At 49.8% G+C, this 12,245-nt stretch overlaps 3 annotated features.

Annotated features, from left to right (window-relative positions):
* Positions 5,490-6,298: an enhancer, noted in NCBI's record as "H3K27ac-H3K4me1 hESC enhancer chr6:41374298-41375106 (GRCh37/hg19 assembly coordinates)". NCBI's record gives its function as "activates a minimal SCP1, AML or CMV promoter by ChIP-STARR-seq in primed H9 embryonic stem cells {active_cell/tissue: H9 hESC(primed)}" and the evidence as "EXISTENCE:reporter gene assay evidence [ECO:0000049][PMID:30033119]".
* Positions 7,106-7,913: an enhancer, noted in NCBI's record as "H3K27ac-H3K4me1 hESC enhancer chr6:41375914-41376721 (GRCh37/hg19 assembly coordinates)". NCBI's record gives its function as "activates a minimal SCP1, AML or CMV promoter by ChIP-STARR-seq in primed H9 embryonic stem cells {active_cell/tissue: H9 hESC(primed)}" and the evidence as "EXISTENCE:reporter gene assay evidence [ECO:0000049][PMID:30033119]".
* Positions 7,914-8,720: an enhancer, noted in NCBI's record as "H3K27ac-H3K4me1 hESC enhancer chr6:41376722-41377528 (GRCh37/hg19 assembly coordinates)". NCBI's record gives its function as "activates a minimal SCP1, AML or CMV promoter by ChIP-STARR-seq in primed H9 embryonic stem cells {active_cell/tissue: H9 hESC(primed)}" and the evidence as "EXISTENCE:reporter gene assay evidence [ECO:0000049][PMID:30033119]".

The following is a 12,245-nucleotide window of genomic DNA, read 5'->3' on the forward strand; positions in this document are numbered from 1 at the left end:
CTGTTTATTTTTTGTGGAGATGGGGTCTCACTATATTGCTCAGGCTGGTCTGGAACTCCTAGGCTCAAGCAATCCTCCCACCTTGGCCTCCCAAATTGATGGGATTATAGGCATGAGCCACCACACCTTGCCAAGAGTACTTTCATTTCTTCAAGGACGTTCATACCTGTCTTTCCACATCCTATAGCTAGCTATTGCTGAGTAACAAACTACCCTAAAACTTAGCAGCTTAAAACAACAATAATCATCTGTTTTGCTCATGACCCTGCAATTTAGGTGAGGTTCAACAAGAACAACTCCTCTCTGCTTCACAATATCTGGGGTTTCAGCTAGGATGTTTCATATGGCTGGACACTGGGAAGCCATGGTGCATTAAGCTGGCTTGTACCAGCTTGCAAAAGCCAATTGTTAAATATTCAGAAATTTTTTACAAGCAGTTGTTATACTATTGGTAACTTTAAATTGGCCCTGGTGAGACTAATTACAGTCAGAAATCAACAAACACTATAAATCAGGGCAGTTTTCATTCACAGAGTAGGTTTACCAGCACACCACTGTTGGCCAGGCATCTCTCTCTCTCTCCATCACATGGCTAACTTGGGCTTCCTTACAACATGGCAGTTTCAGGGTAGTTAGGCTTCTTACAGGGTGGCTGGAACTTTCCCAGACCGAGTGTCCCAAAGAATCTAATCAGAAACTACTTCACTTATTACCTATTCCCAGATGTCCCAGAATGTCACTTCTCTCACATTCTATTGGCTAAGCAAATCACTAAAACCAACCCGATTCAAAGAAAATGATTAGACTTCACCTTTCGATGGGAGGAGGGGCAGAGAACATGTGGCCATCTTTAATCGACCATAGCATAGGACAAGAGTCTAGGGTGTAGCAGACGGTTACTGGTCTAGATAGCAGAAGACTCAAGTCATATCCCTCCTCTACTTCTTACTAGATGTGTGCCTTCAGCATGTCATTTAACTTACTTAAATGTCCTTTTCTTCATTGTTAAACAAACAGACAAACAAAGTAAAAGAAAGAAAAGAGGAGTGCCAAGAACCTTCATTTTGCCTATTTCTCAGGATTATCGTTTGGAGCAAGTAAGATCATTTTAATGTACCTAGATGTAATTTGGCACCATATAGAGTCAAGGCTCTGCTGCAATAGTTTTTCATATATGTGCTGTAATTACGTTGACCATATAATTCATCATTCAAACCAGGACACTTTGTAGAGTGAAAGGGGATGCTATTAATAATTACATAACAGGTATAATCAGGACTGAACCCAGTAAATCTGCTTGCATGGTCACCAGCTATAATAAATATGCCAGTTTTCAGAAAAGAAACTGAGTGATGTGAACTGGGTTATGTTTCCCAATGGTGAGCATCTAGTGGGGAAAAAATAAGTAAACATTCAAGGAAGAATTCAGCAAGTCAAAGAGATCCAGCTGAAAATTTCCAATGGAATAAGGCAGACTACAAATAGACATACAAAGTAAAAATGAAAAACAATCTCTTTTTTGTCTAATTCAAATCATTTCTTCTTTCCCAACATCAAGTAACCCACTCAGGTTCCCCATTTAGCTCACGACCGGTGTGCTTGCCTCTCCTCTGACCTCTATCCAGTCATTTCTCCACTGTGCTCCCCTCCCACAGAGAATTCTATCCACAATGCAAAATGTCTTGGATCATTCCCTGGCATAAACCCCTTTAATGGCCCTTCATCACTTGCAGGAGATACCTTCAGCCCCAAGCATGGTACAGGCACACTATGGTCTGGCCCTCCCCCTACCTTTCCCCAGCCTCCTCTCCTACCCCCTCTGACCTCACACTTTATTTATATTCTAGAAATTCCCAAACACTTGTATCTCCTGATGTGCAGTGCTAAGGTCTGTATGGTGACACCTTGCTCTGAGCCATTGTCTCAGCCTGCAATGTTCTCCCCCATTGCCTCTGCCTCTCCAGGTCTCACTCGTGATTGTAGTCGCCACTCAGGGGTCATCCCTGAAGGAACGACTAGACATCCCAGGCCAGGGACAATGCCCTCCCCGATGCTCACCGAGCATCCTGAATACTGGAATGGTTAAGGGCACAGACTTGGGGCACAGAATGCCTAGGTTCAGATCCCAGCTGAACTTGGGCAAGTTGCTTAATCAAGCTATGCCTCAGTTTCCCCACCTGTAAAATATATTAAATAGGACTCATCTAGTGAGGTTGTAGTGAGGATTAACTGTGTTAACATTAATATAATACATATATAATTTGATACGGTGCCTGGCACACAGACCATTCCCCGTAAGTAGTAGTTGTCGTCCTCAGATGTCGTCTGTATCTGGCTCTTGCAAGGGCAAAGGCTGGATCTAATTCACATGGGTATCCCTGGAGGCTCCTAATAAGTGTTGGTTGAAATGAACTGAGTTGGCCAGGCACAGGGGCTGACGCTTGTAGTCCCAGCACTTTGGGAGGCCGAGGCAGGTGGATCACCAGAGGTCGGGAGTTCGACACCAGCCTGGCCAACATGGTGAAACCCCATCTCTACTAAAAATGCAAAAATTAGCTGAGTGTGGTGGCACACGTCTATAATCCCAGCTACTTGGGAGGCTGAGGCAGGAGAATTGCTTCAACCCGGGAGGTAGAGGTTGCAGTGAGCCGATATCATGCCACTGTACTCCAGCCTGGGCGACAGAGCGAGACTACATCTCAAAAAAAAGAGAAAAAGAAAAAGAAAAAAGAAATGAACTGAGTTTAGGAGTTCTTGGGCAACTTCAGGGAGACTCTCCGTTCCCCTGTTACATTAGGGGACTCATTAATGTAATAAGGAGGCACTGAAACTTTGATTTCAGCTGCTGATGGGATGACTTTGCCATGAGGAAAATGGCCTACCCATTATACCAGCCGTGCTCCTGCTCCTTCCAAATCCCTAGGGAAACTCACCTCGCTGGCTCTGCCTGCCCTTGGTGTTTCTTTCAGTTTGTTTCTCCCACTCCCTGCCCTGATCCCCAGGCAGCTCCTTTCCTAGAGGAGGGCAGCTTCTGACACCCAAACTCCAGAATCACGCATGTGCCTAACCACATGAGGAGACCAAAAAAATAAATAAATACATACGTAATAAATACAGCACCTTGTATTTGTTTTCTCGCTCTAAGTCCAGGGGTTGGAGATTTTCCCTCAAATTTCAACTTCCCTTTCTCTGGCCTCACATTTCTAAATATACTCAAATGAGGATTTTATGAGCAAACCAAGTTATACATAAAACATTTTTACATTCCTACACTGACAAAGTGATTTAACTGTGTAAAGGGCACTTGAAGTCTAAGTATGACACATGCTTCAAAATTTCCTTAAATTTCCACTTTTAAAAAAAGGGATTTTGAAGAACTCCAGAATTCCCAGACATTTTCCTACTCTAGCCTGACTCTCAAGTGGCAATGTGTGACCATGCAGCAGCCTGTTCCATGAAAAGCACTCCTGAGTGGAGAAGGCTAGGGCCTCACCGAGTCTTTTGTGTCCAGGCACAAGCCCTTCCATCACCATCACCGCCTCCCACACCACACTGAACTTCCCAAGAAGAAGATGCCATAAACAGCTGGAGTTGCCTCTGCAGAGCAAAGCTCCCAGGAGGCCAAACATCTGGGCAGCTGCCAAGAGCTCCAGTTCCTCCAGCCCTTCTCCGTTTTAGGGACCTTAACATCCCTTTTTCCCCAGATCTCTTAGCAAATGCCTAACTGCATTCTGGGGTGATCACACCCACTAAAGTGCTTCGTTGGGTCAAGGAAGCACAGGAGAGAAGCCAGTTGCCCTACCAGTGTCCTAGCATAACAGCTGTTAAATCCAGAGGGGTGCATCCTGCCCAAGACAGGGTGAAGCACTGGTCTTTGTCTCAGAACAGAAAACAGAAAAGGGTCAGAACTACGTCAGCAGGAATTTGGGCTTAAAGTTTCTGATAATCAGTTAGTGGGCATCTTAGTTCATCCTGGCTGCTATAACAAAATACTTTAGACTGGGTAATTTATGAACAAAAATGTATTGCTCGCAGTTCTGGAAGCTGGAAAGTCTAAGATCAAGGCACCAGCAGATTCGGTATCTATGGGGAGGGGGGACTTGTTCTCTCCTCCAAAGATGCTGCCTTCTTGCTGCATTCTCACATGGCTGAAGGAGTGGGAGGGGCAGGCAGTCTCCCACAAGTCACTTTATAAGGGCACTAATCTCATTTAGGAGAGCCCCACCCTCATGACCCTAATCACCTCCTAAAGGCCCCAATTGTGGATTAAATTCCAACATACAAATTTGGGGGGCACTCCCACATTCACACCATAGCACTGGGTGAAATGAGGACCAAGAGCTTAGGGACAGATGTTTATAGAGTGGGCACCTGCTGCAGTCTTGGCAGGAGAGGCAGTATGACCTGGAGGCACAGAGCCCTAGAGCCCCTCAGCCCTAGTTTGAATTCCGGCTCTCCTAGTTGCCAGCTGCATCTTTGGGTAAGATATCTACACTCTCTAAGCCTTGGCATCCTCATTTGTAAAATGAGATGATGGTAACAATAGTGCCCATGCCATGGTTTTTCTATGGGGATTAAATATAAAAGGGCTCAATATAGAGTGTTACATACGAGGCTGCTCAGTAAGTGCTACAATTGTTATTTTTATTCCTAAGGTTTGGGATTTCCCTGGACTCATAAGAAGACCAATTTCTAAACCAGCACCTGCCTCTCCACCACATGACCTCATCTTCACCATAGAGGTAGATGTCCAGTTCACACCACCTGAAAAACTGAGGGCCTCAGAGAAACTGAGGCCTCAGAGAAACAGAGAAACTGAGGGCCTCAGAGAACTCCTGCAGGCCCTCCAGCTGGCCACTGCCAGCCCTGCCCAGGACCCCATATCTCACCAGTTACTTGTGTCCACCCTGTCTCCTTGCTCCATCCTACCCCAGTTTAGAGAGTGAGAATGCTGGCTGGGACCCCAAAGACCTATCTGCAACTCCCCAACTCCAAGAAAGGGGGGGCTCCAACAAGGCAGGGCTGTAATGAGATGGAAGATTTGGGCTAATCCGGAGCCAAATGAGGGCCTAATTCCTGCTGTAAAAATCTGTCAGCTGCTAGTTAACAGTTCCTCTGGCCCTGGGCTTGAGGGTGGGGGTGGGGGGTGGCCTCTGTTTGCAGGAGCAGTTGGGCTTGTACCTAGGGTGTTGTTTTTCTCCCTTTTCCTTGTTTTTACGTTTTTGGAATGTGAATATAAACTTTATGGAGGGGCCTGGTCTCTGTTCACACCGGGTGCTAATAACCCACAGCTGAAAGCAGAGGCTCAGAGGAAACCCGGGAGGTGCAGCGCGCAGAAGGCTACAGGAACCGGAGGGGCGGGCACGCGGCTGGAGGAGGGGGCCGGGACGATATTTAATATTTAATTTGCTGGGTTTTTTTTTTTTTTAATGTGGAAACTTTTAGACACAAACTGGCCCCTGTGTTTAAGTCATTAAAACATCTTTAAGCATTTTCTGGTTTGAGTTTGCTCTGCAGCCGTCCTGGTTCCTGGAATGTATTTTATTTTTCTTTTAAGTCGGTGAAAGCAGAAGCAGAAGGAGGTTGGGGGTAGGGGGCTGGTATGGGGGAAAAGTGCGTTTCCAACAGATTTTTCTTTTTCTTGTTCCTGGGGTGGGGAAGAGGGCGGAGAAGGAGAGAACAGGGCTCCCTGTGTCTGATCTTTAATCCCCAGGAATCCCGCTCGGCCTTTTAGGGCCCATGCACTTGCTGACACGACATACATTCGCCGCCTATGTCGGGGGCGTCTCTCGCCCTCTAGGCCGAGCAGGGAATCGTTACAAACTGGGTTAAAGTCGCCCTAGGCTTGGGGGCGGGCGAGGAGCGGCGCTGGGACGTGGCGCGCCAACCGAGCGCACCAGAGCGCGGCGCGGCGCGGCGGGAAACAGGCTTGGGCCTCGGTTGTCCCGCGGCCCAACCAAGGGGCCCGGGCCTCCTCTCTGCCAGGGCTCACAGCGACGCCCTCACGGCGGAATCTCAAGCACTTCCGCTTGGCACCCAGGTCCAGTGTCTGCCTCGGCCGTCTTGGCCGGGCGCCACACGTGGCAAGGACAGTGCCTAACGCAGTTGCTCCAGGGGGACAGGGACGGAACGCGCACGTGGCAACCCAGGGCCTAAGGGGACGCCTGCAACGCTTCTGCCCCCAGCGCTTCGTGCCCGCTTTCTTGACCTCAGGACGAAGCCCTAATAAACCAGCAGCACAGCCCTGGCGTCTTAAAGAAGGAGGCCTAGAATTCGGATTCCTGGGCCGCAAGGTCTGAACCCAGACTCAGAAGAGCCGCGGTCAGAGATAGGAGCCGGATATCCGCGCAGAAACTGTGCTTTCTTTGCGGTGGAGACGCCCAGGCCAGGAGTGGGGCTGAAAGTTAAATGGGATCCCCAGGCCACCTCTCGAAAGTGGGGTAGTTACCCCGGTACTGCTCTGACTAGGCGGGAGGATTGGCATCCCCAGGACGGAGCCCTACCAGGCAGGCAGAGTTGGAGTTATCCCATCAGTGGCGCAGAACTTTATGGCCTCAGCGAATCCCAGCCCCAGTTTCAGCTCCTCTGGGAACTCCCTCCCCTACTGAGTCTGTCTTTTCATTTGAATAATGGGGAGGCCTGAACACCTTTTAGGGGAGGGAGGGAGGAATGAGCAGTTTTCCAAAAAGCGTTCTTTTTCACAAGCTTGGAAAATAGGATGGAGGCGCGTCTGAGAGATGAGGATTTGGCGGGCCGTCTGGAGTGGGTAATGGGAAGCTCAAGGCGTGTGTGTGTGTGTGTGTGTGTGTGTGTGTGTGTGTGTGTGTGCAGAGACACAGTCGAGTTAGGGAAACTCTTCGTCTAGGAGAGCCTCTTGTAAGGTGATCCGTCTCCTCCTTCCTGCCAGGCTCAGAGGCCACCAGCACAGATGGCTAGTCTACCAGCTCCCCAGGGGAGCCTCCTCACTGCAGTCCTCTGCGACTCCACACTGCACCAGTGTCAGGGACTGTCTAGGAGCAAAGAGGAGGCCTGAGAGGCCGCCAGGCGAGGAGGTCTCACAGAGCCCAGGGCACGGCCACTTCAGAGCCTTTTGGCCTTGCTCCTCTCAAACGCCCTGGGACTTGGGGTGGAGGTGGTGGGTAGGTCATGGTAAACCAAGGACTTGGTGGTTGCATGAAAGCAAGGGACTTGAACCAGTTCCTGAGCTGGTTCCATTCCTCCTTCACCCACCCAGCAGGCTTTCAGGGTGCCTGGCATTATGCTAGGGGTAGAAGGACAAACTGGATCCTCCGGGAGTTTGCAGCCTTGGCAGAGGAGCTGGGCTGAAGTTTAGTGAAGGGAGCGGCCAAGCACCTGGTTATCTCACTGCCTAAAGACCTTGGTTCCAATCCTGCCTATGCCGGACCTGGACTTACTCATGACCTTATCAGGACTGCTTTAGTGATTTTTGCCCTAAAATTAGAAGGCCTTGCAGGTCAGGAAGCTACGGCTCCATGGGTCCCTGAGCTGTCCTGTGCCATATCATGAAGGTAGGCCCAGTCCATCCTCACACTTCCACCCTTCAGGCTCGGTGTCTTGGCGGCCGCCGCCTCCAGCCCGAGAGTCTCTAGCTGAGTGAATAACTAGCGCTCCTGCGCGCAGCAAACACACATTGCTGAATTCCCAAAGAGAAGAAAGCGTCCAGAGAGGGCTGTCTTTCATTTGGAGAGAGCTTTTCATCTGGCAAGATCCCTCCTGCTGGCCTCTCACGCTACTGGGGTTGGAGGAGGAAGAGTGAGACCTCGCACGTGCTGAGCGGATGGAGTGAACCTGGGCTTCCCAGCAGCAATGCGCCATGGGTCCCCCGAGCGGGGCCCGGGGACCCGCTGGGCGCCTTCCACAGATCCACAGAGCCTGGCCCGCTGTGCACCCTCAGCCCTCCCGGGAAGGACCTTTCCAGCCGTCCCTGCGCGCTCTTCGCTGCAGATTCCGGGAACTCTGGAGGCGCAAACGGCTCTGCCTTTGGGACGCAGTTCCATTCTGCAAACAAGCAGGCCCTGGCAGTAATTTGGCTCTGAAAATTGGTGCCACAGGAACAGCTGAGAGCTGGCAAGGCCGGCGCCCCCGTGGGTCAGCGTCTGTCAGTCCGCATTAAGATATGCAAAGCCGAGGCGCCCGCGCAGCCGCCTTCGCCTCTCGGCCCGGCGCGTAATTGGTGTCAACTGTTTGATTGCGATAATTGCTACTGTCTGGGGAGGTGGCTTCCAGGCCCCGGTGGGACAGGGCCCGCCACTCGCCCCCGAGGGCCTCCTAGACCCTGCCCTCTCCTGCCGACTGCTCGCGGAGACCCACAGGCCCGGGACTCCGGTGGGACTCCCCGTTCCTCCCTCCCTTTCCCTGCGAGCAAGGGTGGAGTGGGGAGGAGAGAGAGGGTCTATCCGCCCCAATCCCCACCCCCCACACCAACACAAACTACATCTTCTTTTGGAGGGAAGAGGAACGGGAGTGTTTAGGCCTGCATGCTTCAACCCGAGTCCCACATTTCTGATCCCATAATAGTCAAGACCACAATTACCCTCGTGGCCATTACCTTGGCTGGACCTCACTAGAGCCTGTGGAATCAGTATTATTACCTCCTCCCTTAGAGATAGGAAACTGAGCTGCAGGGAGTTAGAGCATGGACCTGGTGAGAAGCAAGGCCAGGCAGGAAAGATAAGCTCTCCCTAGAACCCTACCCTCTTTCCCATTCCACAGAAGAGGAGGCCTGGCAGCCAGCTTCATTTGGGGATTTGTAGTGAATTCACTAATCACCCTGATTTTGGGGTGCTTGGGCCCGTGGAGGCAGGACCATTTGGGGGTAGCCATGCAATGCCTCCTGTCATGTCTTAAGGACTTGGAAAAGCAAAGTGGGCATCCAGGGTATCTCATGACCAAGCTGGCTTCTAGAGCAGGATTTCTCAAGCTTGGCCTGGATACATCTTTATTGTAGGGGCCGTCCTGTGCGTTATAGGATGTTTAGCAGCATTCTTGGCCTCTACCCATTATATACTGGTGGCACACCCACCCACCCCTTCCCCAGTTGTTATAACCAAAAATGCCTCCAGAAATTGCCAAGTGTCCCTGGTGAGGAGGGAAACAAACTGCTCCCAGTTGAGAACTGCTGGTCTCAACTGGGTCCCTGTAAGATCCAGAGCCAGGTGTCTCCAGTCTGGCAAGTAAGTCTAATTCAAAGAAAAATTTCCATATCAACTCGTATGCTAGACACAGAAATAAGTAAGTCAGGGCCACTGCCTTCAAAAGAAAACAATGACAGGCTTAGAGACAGAGATGTAGATGCCATGTCAGAAGCAGCACAGAATGTTAGGGGAGCTCTGAGCAGAACTCCTAAAGCAGGCTGGGAGTAGTCTAGGAGAGCTTCTCAGAGGAGGCAGTGCTTGAACTAGAAGGATGACTAATAGATGTCCTTTACATTTAGTAAGTAACAACAACAATCCTGACTAGAATGCATTGCTATTTGCCTCTGTTCTGTTTTCTTAACTTGCCTGGAATAGGAAGGGCTTGGAATGAAAGTTTCTGGAATATGGGGCTGCAAATACGCAAACCCCAGTGGAGAACAGGGGTGTAGGGGGGGTGTCTGCAGGAGCAGGCAATGAAAAAGTTTGTTGTCTGTAGGGAATTTTAAAACAATAATAAAATCTACTAAAAGTCATGTGCTTTTTCTGTTATCACCATGCGCCAGCCATTTTGTGTCAGTAATAAAATACTCCTCCCTGAAGTAAAAAAAAAAAAAAAACTCGTCTGTTGTGCTATGTTCTAAGCAATTACTGTGGTGACTGTTGAGTTTCAAATTAGCACATTTCTATTACTTATCCTTTAGTAAAGATTGTACACTACCTGATAGTTAATTTGAAGGACTCTCATGTATATAGTCAGCCCAGAATACACAGGACTCAGCTACACTCTTCATTTTGAGATTAAGTTTAAATTCAAATTCATTAGAGCTGGCTTCAGCCACAGTTTGTGTCTCAAATCCTATAGTTCTGCACATCCCTGCCTTTAAACAGTAGATTCAAAATCAACAATGATGCACAGTGATTGCAAAGACAAAGTAACAGACTCAAGCTACTTCAATTCTGTTATTCTCCATGCAAATCATTCTCTGAAACTTGCAGTTTACTCTTTTGGGAGGCTTTCCTTTTTGTTGTTATTCTTTTGTTTTGTTTTGTTTTTGTTTTTGTTTTTGAGACAGGGTCTGGCTCTGTCACCCAGGCTGGAATGCAGTGACACAATCTTGGCTCACGGCAAACTTGGGAGTCTTTCTTCATGTGTTTCTTCCCCCTACTCCCCACCCCCCAAAATTAATATAATTTTCAAGTATCAGTTGCTTTTGTCTTTTTGTACTGTAGTATTTGTTTATTTCCTGATACAATTATACAGAGTTGAATAAAAGAACAGTTACACTGTCTGACTTTTCTGGCCATTATTATTTACTTGTTATTCATCATCATGGTGATAATTTGATAATATGGGAGGTGTTAAAAATGATTTACTAAGGGTGCCTAACACATTAGGTACCCCACTGGTCTGGAAAAAAATGCCAGATCCAGTGAGTGCCCCACAAGGCCACCACTCCCTGGACCCTCGTGGCTGCCTGCTGGGGGCTGGCAGGCGGCCCGATGGGCAATGTGGACCAATGTTTCCCTCTCACCTGCCTTCCCTAGGCTCTTTCCCTGCTAAGTCCCTCCACAGCAGCCCTACCCCATCCACCCCTCATCCTTCTCTTCCCTGTCCTCTCAGCCCAGTCTCAGTTGTGACTGGGTAGGGAAGTCTCTCAGAGGAGCTAAGGTATGACCTCAGGGCTGGCACAGTTCAATGTAGGCCACAGCCTCAGCAGGACCTGAGAATGCATCCTGTTCAAGAGCCTCAGCATATTGGGGAAACTGAGGCCAAAGAGAGGCAATACCCAGCCTAAGATCCCCTAGCCGGTTAGTGGGTCAGGGCAGAGCTGGAACTCATTACTTCTGGCCTGCCTGTCTGTGTCCTTTCATGACACCACTCAGCCGTAACCTAACAAGATGGGCTAATGGGAGAACTTTAGTCATCAGCGGCAGGCCTCCCTGGGTGTTCTTTCTGGCCAGGAGGGCTGTCCTCGCGCCCTTTTCTGGCTCCAGAGTAGCCAAACTCCCAGCCTTGGGCTGCTAATGGTGCTCCTCTTGGCACAAAGGAAGAGGCTGATGGCAATTGACTCATCAAAGACATTTTGGCCCCTACTATTGCCTAGACTTGTGCTATACCCCAGAGACACAGAAATAAATAAGTCACTGCCACTGACTTCAAGAGAATAATCAAGGCATAAAGACTGGGTTTTCGATGTCACATCAGACTCAGCACAGAATGTTCAGGGTGCCCAGAACAGAACTCCTAAAGCAGGCTGGGGGCAGTATGAGAGGGCTTCCCAGAGGAGGCAGTGCTTGGGCTTGAAGGATGCCTAATAAAAGGCTGGCAAAAAGAGGTGGGAGTGTGGGTAGCTTCAGAAGAGGACACTACTCAGGGTGCCAGCTCCCCCTGGAACCTGTGGAGACCTAATCATGCAAGGCACCTTCTGCCAAGCCCTACCCCCTGTCTCAGTCCACCTCAGAACTCACCTCCAAGCAACCCATTCGGGCTTCTCTGATGCCATTGGCCTCCTTGTGCATCCGTCAGTAGGACTGGGCTCCTCTGCAGCTGGCTGTCCTCTGTTCCCTCTCTTAAGCCCCTGGGGTCCCGACCCTTGTGTCTCTTCCTGCCCATCCCCCAGCTTGGTGCAGGTTGGAGCCTTGAGCTCAGGTGGCCTTTCCCTCTTTCCATTCTCTCTTTCCTCTTCCTCTTTTTCTTCTCATTCCTTCATCCTCGGCTTTGTCATTTTCTCTCTCTCCTTGTTCCCCTGTGTAAACTGAGGGCAGGGCCAGGTGTGTGATGGAATTCTCTAGACTAGGTTCCAGGTGACCTATACCCACAGGCATCGGCCTTTCCCTGGGGAGCTGGGGTTAGCACCCAGCCAGACTCTTGGCCTAGAGCTGAGGTTGGAGGCAGGGAGTTGGGGGAGAAAGACAGTGTGACCCAGCATGGTAGGGCTGCCCCTTTTTTTCAAGAAAAGGAGATCCGAGGACTCTTCAAGGCAAAGACCTCGGCTCTCAGCACCTGTGAGTTCTACTTCCAGGAAGCCCCCTTCCCTCTCCACTCCCCCCTTCCCAGTTCTGCTGCTGCTGAGGTGGCTCCTGCTCCCA

This window comes from Homo sapiens, chromosome 6 (genome assembly GCF_000001405.40).
Source record: "Homo sapiens chromosome 6, GRCh38.p14 Primary Assembly".
NCBI lineage: Eukaryota > Metazoa > Chordata > Mammalia > Primates > Hominidae > Homo > Homo sapiens.